The 18,995-nt window shown below is 42.6% G+C and overlaps 2 protein-coding genes, 1 long non-coding RNA gene and 1 pseudogene across 8 annotated transcripts in view, besides 2 other annotated features; 2 read left to right on the top strand and 2 right to left on the bottom strand.

Moving 5' to 3' along the window:
- Window positions 1-5,037, bottom strand: part of CCDC144A (coiled-coil domain containing 144A) — a 111,165-nt gene extending 106,128 nt beyond the window's left edge. The window contains exon 1 of the mRNA XM_017025429.3: window positions 4,550-5,037. Coding sequence (XP_016880918.1) covers window positions 4,550-4,941 — 392 coding nt within the window. The 5' untranslated portion in view covers window positions 4,942-5,037. The remainder of the gene's footprint in view (window positions 1-4,549) is intronic.
- Window positions 4,641-5,649, top strand: NEK4P2 (NIMA-related kinase 4 pseudogene 2; annotated as a pseudogene).
- Window positions 6,032-17,862, bottom strand: LOC124903934 (uncharacterized). 2 transcript variants are annotated; one of them, XR_007065639.1, is made up of 4 exons: window positions 17,784-17,862; window positions 16,556-17,670; window positions 15,336-16,106; window positions 6,032-6,120 (listed from the first exon to the last, which is right to left on the bottom strand). It is a non-coding gene; the product is annotated as an uncharacterized LOC124903934 (long non-coding RNA). The 2 variants fall into 2 exon arrangements; XR_007065638.1 differs by having other exon boundaries at window positions 17,107-17,809.
- Window positions 17,904-18,995, top strand: part of ZNF624 (zinc finger protein 624) — a 39,604-nt gene continuing 38,512 nt past the window's right edge. For 3 of the 5 annotated variants that reach the window (XM_047436461.1, XM_011523970.3, NM_020787.4), the window contains exon 1: window positions 17,904-17,990. The gene's annotated coding sequence lies outside the window, so the exon portion shown is untranslated. Of the gene's footprint in view, window positions 18,187-18,995 lie in introns of all 5 variants that reach the window. The other 2 variants (XM_047436460.1, XM_006721562.5) reach the window with 1 other exon arrangement.
- Window positions 17,995-18,194: a silencer, noted in NCBI's record as "silent region_8228". NCBI's record gives its function as "represses an Ori minimal core promoter by ATAC-STARR-seq in GM12878 lymphoblastoid cells {active_cell/tissue: GM12878}" and the evidence as "EXISTENCE:reporter gene assay evidence [ECO:0000049][PMID:35858748]".
- Window positions 18,150-18,660: an enhancer, noted in NCBI's record as "H3K27ac hESC enhancer chr17:16556408-16556918 (GRCh37/hg19 assembly coordinates)". NCBI's record gives its function as "activates a minimal SCP1, AML or CMV promoter by ChIP-STARR-seq in primed H9 embryonic stem cells {active_cell/tissue: H9 hESC(primed)}" and the evidence as "EXISTENCE:reporter gene assay evidence [ECO:0000049][PMID:30033119]".

Raw genomic sequence — 18,995 nt, 5'->3', positions numbered from 1 at the left:
GATTATCCCCTTAAAAGGTAGAATATTACCTTAATTTTAGTTTCAGAGGAAAAGATAATATATCCATATCCACCTGAATTTTACTCTGAAGAGTAGGGACCAATATGTCTCCACATATATTTTATTAATCATAGGTGTTTTGCCAGACTGATGGGATGCATCTGGTAAATTCACTGTGAGTGTTTGTGTGTGTGTGTGTCACTGATTTACCACATGTAATGATTAAATGGTACATTTAATTACATTATTTATTTATGGTATTTAAAGAGAAAGTACTACTAAGGTAATTATTGACTTTCCTAATATCAGACCACTTATGCTCAGAGCAGGACACAGAACTTACAGAATAACGCCTATTTTGTAACCCAGAATTTTCTTCTCAAATTTTGAATAAAAATTTGAATAATTTAAATGATATTTTAAATCCTATCATTTTAATGTAACCCTTTAATAATCAAAAAGGTAATGATAGGCCAGGCATGGTTGCTCACACCTATTAACCCAGCACTTTGGGAGGCCAAGATGGGCAGATCACCTGAGGTCATGAGTTTGAGACCAACCTGGCCAACATGGCAAAACCCTGTCTCTATTGAAAGTACAAAAATTAGGTGTGGTGGTGGGTGTCTGTAATCCCAGCTACTTGGGAGGCTGAGGCAGGAGAATCGCTTGAACTCAGCAAGTGGAGGTTGCAATGAGCTGAGATCGTGCCAATGCACTCCAACCAGGTGACAGGGTGAGATGGTGTCTCAAAAAAAAAAAAGTGATAATATAAATATTTTGTATTATTTAAAATACTTCTTTTAAAATTTCAGTAACTTTTTCCAGCATGGTTTCATCTCTAAATTCATGTTCTTAACCACCTTATTATCCTGACTTTATGCTTTATAAAACATGATATGGTATGATGTATGCATTACTTCAGTTGCCTAATTTAAAATTATAGAGGGCGGGGGATGGTGGCTCACATTTTTAATCCCGGCCCTTTTGGAGGCCAAGGTAGGCAGATCTCTTGAGCTCAGGAATTGGAGATCAGCCTGGACACCATGGCGAAACCCTGTCTCCATAAAACAATATAAAAATTAGCCAGGCTTGGTGGCACCCACCTGTAGTCCCAGCTACTTGGGAGGCTGAGGTGGGAGTATCACTGGAACCTGAAAGGTTGAGGCTGCAGTGAGCCCTGTTAGGACCAATGCACTCCAGCCTGGGTGCCAGAGTGGGACCCTGTCTCAAAAAAATAAAATAATATGAAGTAGGTCTTCCTAGTGTTATCATTTTAAAGATAATAAAATCAACATATAGGGATTATACTAAAAACACAAGATTATGTAATCCCGGCTACTCAGGAGGCTGAGGCAGGAGAATGACTTGAACCCGGGAGGCAGAAGTTGCAGTGAGCCAAGATCACGCCATTGCACTCCAGCCTGGGTGACAGAGCCAGACTCTGTCAAAAAAAAAAAAAAAAGAAAAAAGAAAAACACAAGATTATTTATTGAACCACATCAAAGAGATCAAGGAAAACTGCTAAGTTACTGATTTTGTCACTAGTTTTCTTTTCTCTTTACTTTTTATTTTTGAGACAGAATCTCACTCTGTCATCCAGGCTGGAGTGCAGTGGCGTGATCTCAGCTCACTGCAACCTCTGCCTCCCAGGTTCAAGGGATTCTCCTGCCTCAGCCTCCAGAGTAGCTGGGATTACAGGTGGACACCATCATGCCCGGCTAATTTTTGTATTTTTAGTAGAAACGGAATTTCACCATGTTGGTCAGGTGGGTCTCGAACTCCTGATCTCATTATCCACCCCCCTCAGCCTCCCAAAGGGCTGGGATTATAGCCACCGGGCCTGGCCTAACAATAGTTTTCTATAATTTTTGGCATAATATCTACCTTGACTTATGTTAGGGTAAAAAATGAGTGATAACTCAAAAGTGTAGAGAGATGAAGTAGCAGGCTCCATGCTTTGACATTAAGAAGAATGGGGTTACATGTGAGGCTTCTGTGAATTGTCTGATCTATCTAGATACCAGTGGTAATAACCTAGAGGTATGGTGTCCAATAGCCACACATGGCTACTACATTTAAATTTAAATTAATTACAATAATATAAAAATTTGGTTAGTCACACTATCTACCTTTCAACTTCTCAAAAGCCACATGTGGGTAGTGGTTAGCATATTTCGTACATAGACAGAGAACATTTCCAGCATCAGAAAAAGTGTTGGAGAATGCTTGTCTATCCACTTAAGCACACACAGAAATATTAAATTGGGTTAAAATGCTATCAAAAGCTAATGCTCAGACTTGCCGTTAGACAAGTACACATTATCAATGCCCTGCTGATATGAGAACTGAGAATAAAATGTGTGTTCCGGGTGGACTGTAATTAAACAGTTGAATGCCTGACTACAAACATTTAAATCTAAGTTCATGTATTTGGTGATTTGGACCTGGAATGTATCCTTAGTTTGGTTGAAGATGGAAAACATTCTTCTCTTTCTGACCTACTTATTAAACATGTTTGAATGATAGCATTACATATATTATGCAAAATCTTTCTCAAATGTCGCAAGATATATATAGTATAGGAAGCAACTACTATATGACTTTATTAGCATTTTCACTGCTTAATAAATGCATTTTGTATTAAAAAATTAATAAGTACCCAAAAGATAATTATGATATTCCTCCAAAATATTATAAATAATAAAGTTAAACAACTATGGAAACGGAAAGAAAGGGTCAGCAGTGTGTGTTATGGCATGAACATTTGTTTCCCCTAGAATTTATGTGCTGAAGATCTAACTCTGAGTGTGATGGGATTTGGAAATAGGGCCTTTGAAGGTAATTAGGTTTACATGAGGTCATGAGAGTGGGGTCCTTATGATGGAATTAATGCCCTTATAAGAAGAGGCCAGAAAGCCTGTTCAAGAACCAAATCAGCCATTGTCTTGGTCATAGACTTCCCAGCCTCCAAGGCTGTGAAAAATAAATGTCTCTTGTTGAAAGCACCCAGTTTATAGTATTTTGTTATAACAGCCTGAGTAGACTAATACAGCATGTAAATACTATATAATGACAACAGAATAAACAATGTGGCTATAAAACAGATAACAAAAGAATCTGGGACCATTATATCCTAAAGTCTGTTACAACTAAATAAAAAAATTAAAAAATTAAAAATGCACTTTCATTATGTCAAAAGCAGGTAGAAAAAAATAACAATTATTTAAGAGTGTTTGTGTCCAAGCACATAGTATAAAATCTCTACACAATATATCATTGAATCTTCATAACGAAGTAGTTTTATGCTCACCTGTCATAAATGAATAAATTATAAACAATTGAAGCTTAGGGAAAACTATCAGCATTCTAGTTAATAATTAGAGGGCCTAGAATCAGGAAAATAAACTTAAATATGGTATAAGTGACTAAAGTATATTTAATTAAAAAATACATTAAAATACTGAAGACAGAATGTTGCTCCGTAAGCTTGTAACGCAGCAATAATCAATTTATATAAATTATTCCCAATATTAATGAACGTGGAGAAATCAGTGAATAACACATTGAAAAATGAATTGCCTAGGAGATGAAGTAAAACTTCGGTCTTTTGGGAATATTTAATAAATTCCTACTTTAAACTAATGATGAAAAAATGAAGACAATTCCAAACATGAGAAACGAAAAGAGACATACAAAGAGATATACGAGACATTTTTTTATGTCGCAAAATGGTGCATGTTAACTCTAAGTTGGAAAACACGGATCACTAAGTGATTTTGCGAAACAAACAACAAAATCATTAACACAGAAGTGATACCAAAAATGCAAAGGAGTCTTCCCACCTCTGCACAAAACAACAAAAGCACAAAAGTTGTTAGGCTGAGACATTTCAAAGTAAATTATTTTATTACCTCAAGAAAAAGATCATATAAAAGCTATCAGTTCCAGGAAAGTTTCCAAAATGTTTAATCAAGTCAGCATAAAAATGATACCAAAATCTAGGAGAAAACGCGTAATAAAACAAAATGCTGCAAAACACAGTTCATCCTCAGTTATATCAGTAAAATATCCTAAATAACATTCTTGCCAATAGAATGCAAAAACAGAGACAGAGTAAGAAAGGACACCGAGCAGGAGCCCACGAGGTTCACAGTGAGAAAACAAGTGGCTGAGCAGCCGGAGAGAAAGCAGCCCCGGGATTCTGCCACGTGACGTGCGGTGGACCCAGCCGCAGGGACCCGGCACGCTGCCCGCCCTTCAGCCTTTCAGCCCCTCAGCCCCTCACCCGCGTCAGCCCCTGAGCCACCTCAGCCCCTCAGTCCCTTCAGCCGCGTCAGCCGCCTTATCCGCTCGGCCCCTCAAGCCCCTCACCAGCCTCAGCCCCTCAGCCGCCTCAGCCCCTCAGCTCCTCAGCCGCCTCAGCCTCCTCAGCCTCCTCAGCCCCTCAGCCGCCTCAGCCGCCTCAACCCCTCAGCCCCTCAGCCGCCTCAGCCGCCTCAGCCGCCTCAGCCCCTCAGCCTCTCAGCCGCCCCCGCCGCCGTTAGCTCACCCGCCCGGCTGCCTTAGGGATTGGCGCTGCCCAGCGGGGTCCAGCGCAGCCTCCTGCCGGTTTTCCCACCGGTGGCTCCCGCCACTGGCTCCTGGCCGCCGGCTGCTACCCGCGCTCCGTGGGCAGGGCCAGTCCGGGGGAGCGGACCCCGAGAGGCGCGGCGGGATGGCAGGCGGTGTCCAAAAGCCTCTGAAAGTCGCAGCCGGGCGCGAGTCGCTGACCGACCGGGAGGCCCCGATCTGTCCCAGCCAAGGCCTCCCGGCGCCATCACCCACCAGGAGTCCCGGGCGGGGGCATCGCTCCCTCCACGCTGTCGCGGGCTTCTGCCAGGCGGTGATCTGTGCCCAACGCCACCAAAGGGCAGCTTGTGCCCAAGAGTGGGGGAAATGCATCCTTCCCGGGGATCTGAAAGCTCCAGGTCCTCCTGCCAGGAGCCCACGGCCTCAGATGGCGCCCAGGACGCGCCCGCGCTGGGGAAGCGCCCCCTGCACCTGAGCCCGAAATTGTCCCCAACAAACCCCACACCCGCAGGGCTGACGTTTGGACTCCGGGGTGCGGTGTCGATGAAATGGGCACCGCGTGCTTTCCATGCAAAAGACACGGAGTCTGGAGTTTATGGAATTATTGAAGGAAAGCCGCGCCAGTGCCAAGAGATCATGGCCCAGAGCTGGCAGAACTGATCAGACCAATGCTGAGCAAAAGGCCTGAAGAAGACCATCTGGAGGAGCATCCCGAGGGCTTTCCCCAAAGCACCAGATCGCCTTCCTTTCCGAGGCCACAAAGGCGAGAACTTCCAGAAATAGCATGAAACACGGTGACTTGGTGACATCCAAGCCTGCTGCCACCGTGGTTTCCGGGAAGGCAGAATCAAGGCATGAAGTAATCCACGCCAACCACGCTCCTCTGAGGGCTGAGCAAGACATCGATAGTGGGTGAAGGCAAGTGTTTGTCCCAGGAGAGGCCCAGGATGGTTGGTCCCTTGAAGTCACCCGCCAGTCTGAAGGCCCAGGGGACTTGAGCAATACCAAGAACTGGCCACGGTCAGTAGGGTAAATATTGGCATCTTACCTGCAGAAGGGAGGGATGCAGCGAGCGAGGGCAGAGGCTGCAGTGAGCTGAGATCGCACCACTGCCCTCCAGCCTGGGCACAAGAGCGCGACTCCGTCTCAAAAAAAAAGAAAACGAAAGAAAAAGAATAGAGGAAGAAAGCAAATTTATTGTCTTCATTGGTTTGAAATAACAAAAGCTGATTGCCAAATACAGTATGTGAAATAACTCCTGCTTAAATTGTTTAAGAAAGAAATGATACAGGGCAAACACAATAAGTCTTGTGTGACATTTTTTGAGTACCTGAAACTTCTTCTATTTAAAAAAGGAAATTTGAAAAAGGAAAAGGAGTTTTGATTCAGCTTGGCCAGCATTTAAAACACGAGCATGGCAGACACGGTTCTGCAGCCTCTTCCCAGTGAGGGTCTTCAGTGGCATTTACTGCAGTTGTCAGCTGATGCTGTGTCTCTCCTGGGCCTGGGTAACTTCAGGGACCTCCACTGACAGCTTCTCCTCTCCTCAGGCTTCCAGAAAAGTAACAGCCAACCAGGGAAATAGAAATTCTCATTTTAAACAATCTTGACAAATTGTAGAAATTGCATTGGTACTACTCACATCTCTAGGTTTTTGAGCATTTTTTTTTCCATGGAGATTAGATTATAAACATTGCATCTATGCTTCTACATGTGTTCATGACCCAATTGGCCTCTTTGATACTCGAGTAGTAACACTATTCTGAGGAAGTGAAACTGTTAAAATATATTATAAATACATATATTCTTATCTATAATTTATTAACATACACGTTCAACAATCTGAAATCTTTAAATTTTGGCAAACTTCAATGCTGACCAGTATAACATTCAATGAAATAGCTTCTTTAATTTTTAATTACTTTCTATTTATGGCTCGTTTGTTAATTTTTATGTTTTCATGCTGTTTTAGTATGTGAACATATTGTATATATATATTTTTTTTTGAGACATAGTTTTACTCTTGTTGCCCAGGCTGGAGTGCAATGGCACGATCTTGGCTCACTGCAACCTCTGCCTCCCGAGTTCAAGCAATTCTTCTGCCTCAGCCTCCCAAGTAGCTAAGATTACAGGCATCCGCCACCATGACCAGCTAATTTTGTATTTTTAGTAGAGATGGGGTTTCTCCATGTTGGTCAGGCTGGTCTCAAACTCCCGACCTCAGGTGATCCACCTGCCTCGGCCTCCCAAAGTGCTGGGATTACAGGCATGAGCCAACGTGCCCAGCCTCTGCCACCTATCTTTATCCAGATGCACATAACTGTTATCCTCTGCCTGTCCACTAATGTATATTAGGATTGTTGGAGAAAATAACTTGTTTCTTTAGCATCACAGGTCCACAAATTGAAAGTGTGCCCCCAGGAGCTGCACTGAATGATTTGTACCCATCTGCACCTGATTTAGAACATTTAGAAGTTAAGATTCTAAACTTCAAGTTTGTGATGTTTAGGGGCCATTCTGGACTTTGAGCTGATGAGATGATACAATTTAGATAATAATACTTTGGATTTGAGCTGATGATGAGATGAAATCTTTGGAAGGGAGTAAATGTATTTTGCCTTTAGGGAGAATATGAACATTTGAAATTTAGAGGCAACTGTATGGTAGGTGATATGAAGATTTCTTGTAAGATTTTCTTCCACGGTAAACAATTACCATGCTGTAGGGAAGGCTGCATGCCATAAAATGGTGGGCCACCTCTAGGATTTGAGAACAACTCTCCATTGACAGGCAAAAAGAAACCAGAATCTTCAGTCCTGTGACTATAGGAACTGAATTCTGACAAAAACCAATGAGCTTGGAAAATGGCCTGAAATAAAATAATAGCCCTGCATCCAACTTGGAAAGGAAAAAGTCCAATTTTCTCTGTTTGCAGATGATACAATCTTCTGCTTGGAGAAACCTAGAGACTCCACCTCACCATCTCACGGGGACACAGACCATCACAGCGCGACAATAGCCTGCAGGAAGGTTGCACAGAACCCTGGCAGCTCATCCTGGGGACAGGTCTCTAGTCTGGGAAAAGGCTTCTCAGAGAAAGGGGCCTGTTTTGTTTTTATTTTTTCATTGTAGGAAGAACACACAGTTTAAGTGTTCAACTTGATGAACTTTTACCCACGGGTGCACTCAGTCTCAGCCCCCAGACCAAGCTGGACAAGACCAAGCCCAGCCCTTAGAGGGTTCTTTTGTCCCCTCCCATCCAATACTTCCCCCCAGAAGTAACCACTCTTCTCAGCCCTTTGCTGTAGATTAATTCTGCTTCTTTTTGCCTTCTATAGATGCATGAGGAAGGTGCTCTTTTGAGTCTGGCTTCTTCACTCAACAATGACATCTGTGAGATCCTCTTATATTGTTGCATGTGGTCATAGGTCATTCTTTTTCATTGCTGTATAGTATTTCATTGCATGAATACACTGTCATTTGTTGATGTTTTCTGTTTATGGACATTTAGGTTGTGCTAGACAGTGATAGTTTTGACTGAGTAGAAGTTACCTTGCTATGCAGCAGCAGAGAGGATAGGGAGGAACATTTGAGAAGGCAGGAACAACATGTGCAAAGGCCTTTGGCAGGAGGGAGCATGCCTGGGGCCCTGAAGGCTGGTGTGGCTTCCTGGTACCCCGCTTCTAGGCCACTGTGTTCTGAGTGCCTGCTGCCCTGGCCTGGTGTGTGGCCCTCCACACCCATTCCCACCTCCTCCTCCTGTGCCTTCCTGACCTGCAGGGGCTAGGAAGCTGAAGGGGAGTGATGTAGCCACAGAAGAAACACGTGGAACCACAGCAGCTGGAGGCGGTGAGAAATGGCATCCCCCTAGGCCCTTTGTAGGAAGCAGGGCCCTGCCAACATCTTGATTGAAGATTTCTCACCTCTAGAACTGTGAGAAAATTAATTTCTATTGTTTTAAGCCACCAAGTTTTTGGTCATTTGTCACAGATCCACAGGAAACTCATGTGTCTCATGCATTAGTAAGCAGCATGGTATTCTGGATCTACTGGAACAGTCTCGCAATGAGTTCAGACAAGAATTACTAAAGGCAATTGGTGAAATTAAACATCTTTCCAGCCTGCTGGCCAAGGTGAGGAGAGATAGCTTTTTACTGGTATTTGCCCATCCTTGTTCACATTTCTACCCTTAACCTCTAAATTCACAGAGCACAGAGAAGCATTTGCTCATCTATTTCACTCATGAAGCCAGCATTCCAGCTTGAAGACCTGTTAGATTGCAGACAGATTGGCACTGGGATACAAAAAGGAAACACCCAAATTTCTGGTGGTAGACAGTTCAAAGTGTAGTTGAGATGTAGAGAATCAAAGCAGAGAGTACAATGCAGTGATAAAGAATATCAGCCAGGCACAGTGGCTCACACCTGTAATCCCAGGACTTTGGGAGTCTGAGGTAGGCAGATCACCTGAGGTCAGGAGTTCGAGACCAGCCTGGCCAACATGGCAAAACCCCATCTCTAATAAAAATACAAAAATTATCTGGGAGTGGTGGCGGGGGCCTGTAATCCCAGCTACTTGGGAGGCTGAGGCAGGAGAATTGGTTGAACCTGGGAGGCAGAGGTTGCAGTGAGCTGAGAAGATCATGCCACTGCAATTCAGCCTGGGTGACACAATGAGACTCCATCAAGAAAGAGAGAGAGAGAGAAAGAGAGAAAGAAAGAAGGAAGGAAGGAAGGAAGGAAAGAAAAAAAAGAAAAGACAGAGAGAGAGAGAAGGAAGGAAGGAGGGAAAGAAGGAAGGAAGGAAGGAAAGAAAGAAGGAAAGAATATCATAGAGTTATGCCCAGACTCTAGTCTAGTGCAAAGCAGAACACCTAGTGTAATATGGTAGTGAGTAGTACAGGAGGACTTCCTGGAAGAAGTGACAACTGAGCTGAATTCTGAAGATTGAGTGGGAGTTTGCCAGGTCTATTGGCATGCTTTTAGCTGCTAGTAACAGACAATTAAAATCACTCCCAATTTTCCCTCCAAAACATTGCCACTATTTTGGAGTTTTCTTCCAGATATATGTGTGTGTATGTTTATCTCATAAGTTTAAAAAGTTTTAGAATAGACCGGGTGCAGTGGCTCACGCCTGTAATCCCAGCAATTTGGGAGGCCATGGAGGTTGGATCACCTGAGGTCAGGAGTTCGAGACCAGCCTGACCAACATAGTGAAACCCTGTGTCTACTAAAAATGCAAAAATTAGCCAGGCGTGGTGGTGGGTGCCTGTAATCTCAGGTACTTGGGAGGCTGAGGCAGGAGAATTGCTGGAACCTGGGAGGTGGAGGTTGCAGTAAGCCCAGATCACTCCATTGCACTCCAGCCAGGGCAACAATAGCGAGACTCCATCTCAAACAACAACAAAAAAATTTAGAATAATCTTGTACATGTTATTAACTTTCATTTTGCATTTAACTTTTTTAAAATGATTAAACTTTTCTCAGCATATTCTCATCATTAAATATTATTTAAAACATTATTTTAAGGTTAGATAGTATTTTATCATATAAATAATTCATATTTACTAGTCCCCTGTTGTTGAACATATATGTATTATTGAACATTTATGTTCTTTCCAGTCTTTCAATATTGTAAATACTTTTTTTCATCTCTCTCTTATTACTGATTTAGGAAAAATTCCTAGATATTGAATTACTGAGTCAGAGCATAAACATTTTAAAGACTTCTAACATATCCAGCCAGATTGCCCTTCAGAAATATTATACCAATTTGTTCCAGCAGTCATGAGAACACACACTTCCCTGAGCTCTTGCCAGCACTTGATATTACATTGTTATTGCATTTCAATCTGTTAATCATTTCTTTTTCTTTCTTTTTACCCTTTTTGCTTGGAAATATCTTCCCTAGCCCAAGATTCAATAAACAATAACTTTTCTCATTAAAAAAAAATAATTATCTAATCAGTCTAGAATTTTGGTTTTTGATATAAGAATCGTGATGACTGTATGATATTCTGCCCACCAACCAGAGCAGTGCTGGAGAGGTGCAGAGATGGCCTCCTGTTTCCTGTTTCCTCCAAGTTCTGGGTCTGTGATTTAGGGATCTGCTGCTGAGAGAGGTTCAAAACATCTTCCCACCTTATTTCATGGACTGTCATTGTTTCAAGAAGCAAATTATACCATCAGCTCCAGGAAGATTTTTTTCTACTGCTTCATGTGTTTTAAGATCAGTCCATTGCAACCTGATTCTGCATTCTGCCATCTGATGGGCTTCATGGTGGGTCATGTGAGGAGTTTCTATCTTTGTCTGTGTTCTAAATTTGCAGGTATTTTATTTAAAGTATGGAAGCAATTTTATTAGAAGTCACTAGCCAAGCTTTGCATTAGGTTTTAATATCCTGTAGAATAAGATTACTTTCCCTTTTTTTGCTTTAAGATTCCTCATTACTCTTTTGCATAACGTTTAATCTCCCATGTGGCCCTTTTTGAAGTTCTTCCCCAGTCCCTCATTTGTCTCTCTGGTATTTTGATTGGCATTTGCATTATACGTATTAATGAGAGGTAATTTGGTATTTTTTAAATGTCTTATTTTTTCCTGATCATAAAATTATATGTTCTTTACAGAAGATTTAGAAAATACAGAAAAGTATAAAAAAGAAAAGTATTACCTTTAATCTCACCACTTAAAGGAAAAAAACTGCAAACATTTTGCTGTATGTCCTTTCAGACTTTTTCTTAGTTTATACATGTTTGAGCATGCATAAAACTTGCATTGATATGATTATGATATTTCATCTTCCTATCCAGAAGAATAGAGTATGTCTTTCCACATTCCATTACAAAGAACCAGTTGGATTCATTTATTTATTCCACTGCTAATCTGTTTTTATTAATTCTTGTATTCTACTTTTTGGACATTTCTTTGATTTCTCACTAGTTTCTTGAGTAAAATTCTTTGTTCATTTCACTTTCTTGATTGATAATGAAAGCATTTAAAGATATTAATTTGACCTTTCTTGTAGCTTTGGCTAAATAGAGACAATAAAATCTAGAAACTTCTGAAATAAATTAAACCTAATTTAGAGAAAAAAGGAAAGTGTGCATTTTCTGTAGAGTACAAGGCACAACATATATATTTAAAATTAGGCTGTTATTAATATTATAAAATCAAGTTATACATATATTCCATATCTTATTGCATGCTACCTAGAATTATCAAATACTAACAGCAGGACAAAAAAGTCCTCACTAGTAATTTTAGGTGAGAGTTTGAGGTAAAGATGTGGACATGATATCACATAGGTTTGCTTTCATATCTGTCAAGACCCTAGGTCTGTGATTTTGTGCTTTCTTATATGTACAGAGACTGATTTGTAATTGCAGTGAACTTGTAACATACTAATCTTCCTGCCCTTTTACATTACCATAGAAAAAGCAAAACCCAGACCTAATCAAACTGATAGCTTATTGTATCTCTACCTCAGAATATCAACTAATCCACCAGCAACCATGATGATATGGTTTGACTGTGTTTCCACCCAAATCTCATCTCAAATTGTAATCCCCATGTGTCAAAGGAGGAACCTGGTGGGAGGTGACTGCATCATGGGGGCAGTTTTGCCTATGCTGTTCTTGTGATAGTGAGCAAGTTCTCACAATATCTGTTGTTTTTATAAGTGGCAGTTTCCCCTGCTCTCCCCTCTCCTCATGCCTTATGAAGAAGTTGCTGCTTCCCGTTTGCCTTCCACCATGATTGTAAGTTTCCTGAGGCCTCCCCAGCCATGCAGCATTGTAAGTTGATTAAGCCTCTTTTGTTCATAAATTACTCAGTCTCAGGCATTCTTTATAGCAGTGTGAAAATGTACTAATACAGGAAATTGGTACCAAGAGTTTGGGGCACTGCTATAAAGATACTTGATAATGTGGAAGCAACTTTGGAACTGGGTAATGGGCAGAGGTTGGAACAGTTTGGAGGGCTCAGAAAAAGACAGGAAGATGTGGGAACATCTGGAGCTTGCTAGAGATTTGTTGAATGGTTTTGACCAAAATGCTGGTAGTGATGTGGACAGTGAAGTCCAGGCTTAGGTGGTCTCAGATGGAGATGAGGAACTTATTGGGAACTAGAGCAAAGATCACTCTTGCTATGCTTTAGCAAAGAGACTAGTGGCATTTTGCTCCTGACCTAGAGATCTGGGTGAACTTGACAGAGATGATTTGGGGTATCCGGCAGAATAAATTTCTAAGCAGTAAAGTGTTCAAGAAGTGACAGCATGAAAGTTTGGAAAATTTGCAGCCTGACTATGTGGTAGAAAAGGAAAACCCTTTTCTGGAAAGAAATTCAAGCCGCTGCAGAAACTTGCATAAGTAACAAGGAGTCAAATGTTAATTGCCAAGACAATGGGGAAATGTCTCCAGGGCATGTCAGAGATCTTCACAGCAATGCCTCCCATCACCCAGAGGCTTAGCGGGGAAACATGGTTTTTGTGGGCCAGGCCCAGGGCTGCTCCTCTGTGCAGCCTTGGGATATGGTACCCTGCATCCCAGCTGCTGCAGCTCCAGTCGCGGTTAAAGAGGCCAAGGACAACTTGGGCTGTTGCTTCAGAGGGTGCAAGCCCCAAGCCTTGGCGGCTTCCATGTGGTGTTGGGCCTGCAGGTGCACAGAATAGCTGAGCTTTGGGAGCCTCTGCCTAGATTTCAGAGGATGTATGGAAGCACCTAGATGTCCAGGCAGAAGTCTGCTGCAGGGGCAGAGTCCTCACGGAGAAACTCTGCTAGGGCAGCACAGAAGTGAAATGTGGGGTTGGAGCCCCCATACAGGGTCCCTGCTGGGGGATGGCCTAGTGGAGCTGTGAGAAGAGGGCCACCATCCTCCAGACTCCCAAATGGTAGATCCATCAACAGCTGTACCATGTGCCTGGAAAAGCTGCAGGCACTCAGTGCCAGCCCATAAAAACAGCCAAAGGGGCTATACCCAGCAGTGCCACAGGGGCGGAGCTGCCCAAGGCCTTGGGAGCCCACATCAGAATGCCCTGGATGTGAGATATGGAGTCAAAGAAGATCACGTTGGAGCTTTAAGATTTAATGACTCCCCTACCAGATTCTGGACTTACATGAGGCCTGTTGGTCCCTTTGTTTTGGCCAATTTTTCCTGTTTGGAATGGGAACATTTACCCAATGCCTGTACCCGCATTGTATCTTGGAAGTCACTAACTTGCTTTTGATTTTACAGGCTCATAGATGGAAGGGACTTGCCTTGTCTCAAATAAGACTTTGAACTTGGATTTTGGGTTAATGCTGGAATGAGTTAAGACTTTGGGGGACTATTGGGAAGGCATAATTGGTTTTGAAATGTGAAAAGGGCTTGAGATTTAGGAGGGCCCAGCAGCAGAATGATATGGTTTGGCTCTGTGTCCCCACCCAAATCTCATCTTGAATTTTAATCCCCATGTGTCGAGGGAGGGACCTGGTGGGAGGTGATTGGATCATGAGGGTGGTTTGCCCCATGCTGTTCTCATGACAGTGAGTTTTCATGAGGTCTGATGATTTTATAAGTGGCAGTTTCCCCTGCTCTCCCCTCTCTCCCGCTGCCTTGTGAATAAATTACCTGCTTCCTCTTTGCCTTCCATCATGATTGTAAGTTTCCTGAGGCCTTCCCAGCCATGCAAAACTGTGAGCCAATTAAACCTCTTTTGTTTATAAATCACCCAGTCTCAGGCATTCTTTAGAGCAGTGCGAAAATGAACTAATATACATGAATTCAAATGATAATACATAAAAGACTCATGTCCAAAGGGTAACAGGAGCAGTTTTAGAACAAAACTAAAATGAAGGATCTAAAGTGCTGTACTGGGTTCTCTTGACTTACCCAGTGAGCAATGTTATGATCTTGGGCAGGCCCCTTTACATTCTGCAATGTGAAAATGAAATGTGATGGTGGATGGAAACTCATCTTGAACCTAATTCTATGGGAAGCATTTAACATTTAACATTTCATCATGACATATGTTTGTTGTAGGCATTTGATACATAAGTTTTATTACCTCATGCAGGTATTTTGCTAAAAGGGGTTTGGTTTTTTTTTTTTTTTTTTTTTTTTTTGAGACGGAGTCTCGCTCTGTCGCCCAGGCCGGACTGCGGACTGCAGTGGCGCAATCTCGGCTCACTGCAAGCTCTGCTTCCCGGGTTCACGCCATTCTCCTGCCTCAGCCTCCCGAGTAGCTGGGACTACAGGCGCCTGCCACCGTGCCCGGCTAATTTTTTTTTTTGTATTTTTAGTAGAGACGGGGTTTCACCTTGTTAGCCAGGATGGTCTCGATCTCCTGACCTCGTGATCCACCTGCCTCGGCCTCCCAAAGTGCTGGGATTACAGGCGTGAGCCACCGCGCCCGGCAGGGGTTTGGTTTGTTCGTGGTTTTTGGTTGGTTTGTTTGCTTGTTTTTTAGAGAGACAGGGTCTCGTTCTGTCACCTAGGCTGGAATTCAGTGTTGCAATCCTCACCCACTGCAGCCTTGAACTCCTGGGTTCAAGCGATCCTCCCACCTCAGCCTCTGAGTAGCTGGGACTACAGGCAAATGCCACCATGCCTGGTAAATTTTTAAATTTTTTTTAAGAGATGGGGTCTCACTATATTGCTCAAGCTGGTCTCAAACTGTTGGTTTCTAGCAATCCTCCCACCTTGGGCTCCCAAAGCACTCGGATTACAGGTGTGAGCCACTGTACCCAGGCAAAAGATAACTTTTGAACACCAACTGAGGATGTTACTTACAATGAATCTTATCCTCATTCTCATTTACTTATTTGGATGGAGTTTCCTGAAATTTGTCTCACTATCATCTAGGATCCTTTTTCTTTCTCTAACTGGGAGATTGTGTCTGGTTTGGGAACTGCAAGCCCTGTTCGGGAAAAGGGAAATAGAACTTCACTATGTTGGTGACAAAAAGCCATTCCGGAGTTCTATGTGGACATAATCTTTTGGAAGGCATGATCAATATAGGGAGTTCCATATGATTACAAAGGTAGTTGGGAGGGGTCAAATATGTGCTCCCAAGAATGGTAAAATATGCTGCATCACAGAACCAATATAAGTTAGCCAAAAATATATATTTTTCTAATTTTTTTAAAAAGGCAGAATTGAAGTACCTGAAAAGAGACTTTAAAAGAGACAGTCCTAGGTCTGGGGGATTGTCCTCAGGTAGAGTTTTCAAGATATGCTGATGAAAATATAAATTTTTCCCTTTACAAAGAGTAGAGTTTTTACTTGGAAATGGAGATAGAACTACTCCATAAGGGTTCATAAGATATCATAAATCCCTGAATCCTAAGGTCCATTTGGTCCAACAGAAAAATAGCGAGTCACAACAAAACTCTTCTTACCCAGAGAGACCAGGTTCCTGTAGTTTCCCAATATCACACCCTTGTGCAGAGTCCTTTTGAGGAATCCATTAAGTTCCACTCTTCCCAGACGAAGTCATCCCTTAATGTCACTGATTCCTAAGTATTCCATAACACATTATGATGATACAAATCTATTCATTACCTGGCCCAATGGGAGGAAAAATAAATGTAATGAAAGGAATATTCATGTAAACACAAAATGCTTATGTGGAAGAGAGCTTGCAGGTCATGCAATCAAATTCCCAAGAGGACATTTAAAAATTCTAAGCAAGGATTCATCTAATCTCTGCCTGAACTTCTCCAAAGAATTCAAATTCATTATTGCACAAGGTAGCCTACTCTATTTTCTAAAGCTGTTCGTTGTTAGCATAAAGTTATACAATCTGAATCAAAATCTATCTTCAAGTAACTTTTAACCATTGGTTTATTATTTGAAGCCAAAAAGCATTAGTTTCTTCCTTCACAGAAGAGTTCTTTAAGAGTTTAAAAATTACTAAATATAAAATGCACACAAAATTGCCTATAACAAATATCACTACAAATTGAACAGTGTACTCCTACCAAAATTAAGAAATAAAACACTACCAATACCTTTGAAGTCACCTGTGTGTCTGTCTTTCCTGGACTTTATCCCTGTAGAAGTAATAATCTACCCTAAATATTGTGTTAAACATTTTTTTTTAATAGTTTAACGAAATGTGTATGTTTCTCTAAACTTTCCTGGTGGCTTATTTTACATTCTGTTGTTTGTTGATAATGTTTTTAATTCCATCTATCATGTCCTTAAACATTTTAAATGTAATAATTTTAAATTTTTAATCAAATGAGCTCTGCCTCTGAAGTTTTGGGGGATATATTTCTGCCGTTTATTGTTTGTGCTGATTTTCAGTCACAGTGTCTTATTTTATTATTTGTTTTGTAATGTTTAAGTTTTGGACTTCTGTTTGGCTCATCTTCATCTGTGGGGAATGTGAGGGAACTGGGATCTCCAAAAGACATTTGCTTAGTTTCTAATTTCAGAGTGTATTGAATAAATATTTTGAGTAATCTTTTTCACTGGAAATTTCGTTTTATTCCAGTCCTCCTGTGAATATCCTGTTGTTTTGATTACTCTTCAATGCCACTCTCCTTAGAAGATGTACCTCATTCCGTGTGCATTTCGATATGTGGAAGTGTGTTGGGAGGTGGGGTCCCAAATTATTCATTCATTCTTCCTTCGTTTCATTCAGTATGCAAGCAGTCTCCTAAGTAGGCACTCTGAGTGATAAACTCCATGAGATGTAGTTTCTATCCTCAAAAAATACCGCCTTTGGTAGGGATAAAGTAAATAGACCTTAATATAGCTCTTGGACGAGCAGCCCTTGAATAAGTGGTCAAATAAATTTGTTGCAAATAAATACTTTCAGTCATTGTGTTTTAAGAATTATCATTTGTATGCATTGAGGAGAACTTCTACAGCTATTTGTCTTCAGAAAGGTTTTTTCTTTGTATTTCGAAGAATTTTGGCCTTAAAATTTCCAGCTTATTTTCAGACATTCATATCCATTCTACTTAATTGGCATTATAGTCATCAATTGTTGTCTCTTCCAACTCTGAGGGAATTGTCATAAAGGGAATTGTTCAGAAATATGTGTTTCCAAGCACTTGTTCACATATTTGTCTGGATCACATCTATCTGTTCTCTCGACGGCTTTCTTTAGTCGCACCTAAATGTTCCAAGACAAGGGTTGTGTCATTATTTGTATCTCTAGTGCTATTGCTTTTGACACATAGTCAAGGCTTCTCAACAGAAGTGTATCCAATTGGAATTTTTTCTCACCCTCGAAGAGCCAATTCCTTCACTAACGCAGACAAAAGGGGCGGGGGGCTCAGGCGCTGAGGATTCTGGGCACTGTAGTTCCGACGCTCCGGCTGCGCAGGCGCAATGCCCTGCCTGGAGGCCGGCACCGCCGAGCCGCCGCCATTGCTGGAAGCGTTCCCGCCCTGCTCTGCGAGTTCCCTCAGTTGTCCTCAGTTCGGCCGCCAGGTACTCGTTGTCCCGGGCGCCTGGCCTCGGTTGCCCGCCGCCCCTCCCTTGGCGCTTGGCTCCCGGCGGCGTCCGGGGCGTGGCCGTTCCCTCTAGAGCCCCTGTCCCTGAGCGGACCCGCCCACTCCTGAGAGGCGATTGGGGCTGGGCCTCCTTCCCGAGTGTGGGTTCAGTCTCCAGCTGGCCTCCCTCACAGGTAGGGCCGCGTGCCCTATGCGGCCTCCTAGTCCGGGTCCAAACCCGGGAACCCCCTCCCTGCGGGCCTGGCGGCGCTGGGGTTAAAAAGAGCCGGGCGCAGGGCGCAGGGAGTCGAGTAGGGCGGGCGGGCCCCTGACCCGACTTTCCCGGTCTTCCCAGCCCCGCGCCTTGCAGGCCCTGAGGAGGGCATACCCGAAGTGGGTAGAGGAGAGCAGTTAGGGAAAGAAGGCGAGGTTGGCAGGAGCATATCCGCTCTGGCTTCTGAACTGGCAGGGATGGAACTAGGTTCCACATCGGGGGACCTGCGCTACTCAGTAACCGAGGCAGCTTTTCCTGAAATGTCACATTTCAAATACTGTAATCACCTTTTAATCACTTGTCACTCCCTGACATGACAATGGTATTATTGCATTGGTTGGGAAATGCTGGACTGGTACATGGCGCTGAGATTCTCAGCAAAAACATGGACCCTTCATTATTTCTAAATAACTGCACTGGCCAAGGAAGCAAAACAAGTAAAGTTTCTCCTTAAGTCTCTGGATACGTTTGCAATAGTTGGAAAGACAGAGCTTGTAAATAGGGAAATTATAACTGGGGAATAGTGGCCTAGATATCTTCTGCATAATGACAAAGGGGACAGTAGAAACATATAAGGTGGCTACTGTCATGTACTAATAGCTGATTCGTTGTGCTCAAGTGACTTGCCTGTGGTCACAGTTTTACGGTAGCCAAAGCAGGGTTAGAACCTGGGGATGTGGCCAGCCACTCTGGGATTTTATTCCTATTCCACACTCCTATGTATAGGTA

This window comes from Homo sapiens, chromosome 17, assembly GCF_000001405.40.
Source record: "Homo sapiens chromosome 17, GRCh38.p14 Primary Assembly".
In the NCBI taxonomy this organism is placed as follows: domain Eukaryota; kingdom Metazoa; phylum Chordata; class Mammalia; order Primates; family Hominidae; genus Homo; species Homo sapiens.
The sequence above is the reverse complement of the archived record's forward strand: the minus strand, read 5'-3'. Positions and strand labels throughout refer to the sequence as shown.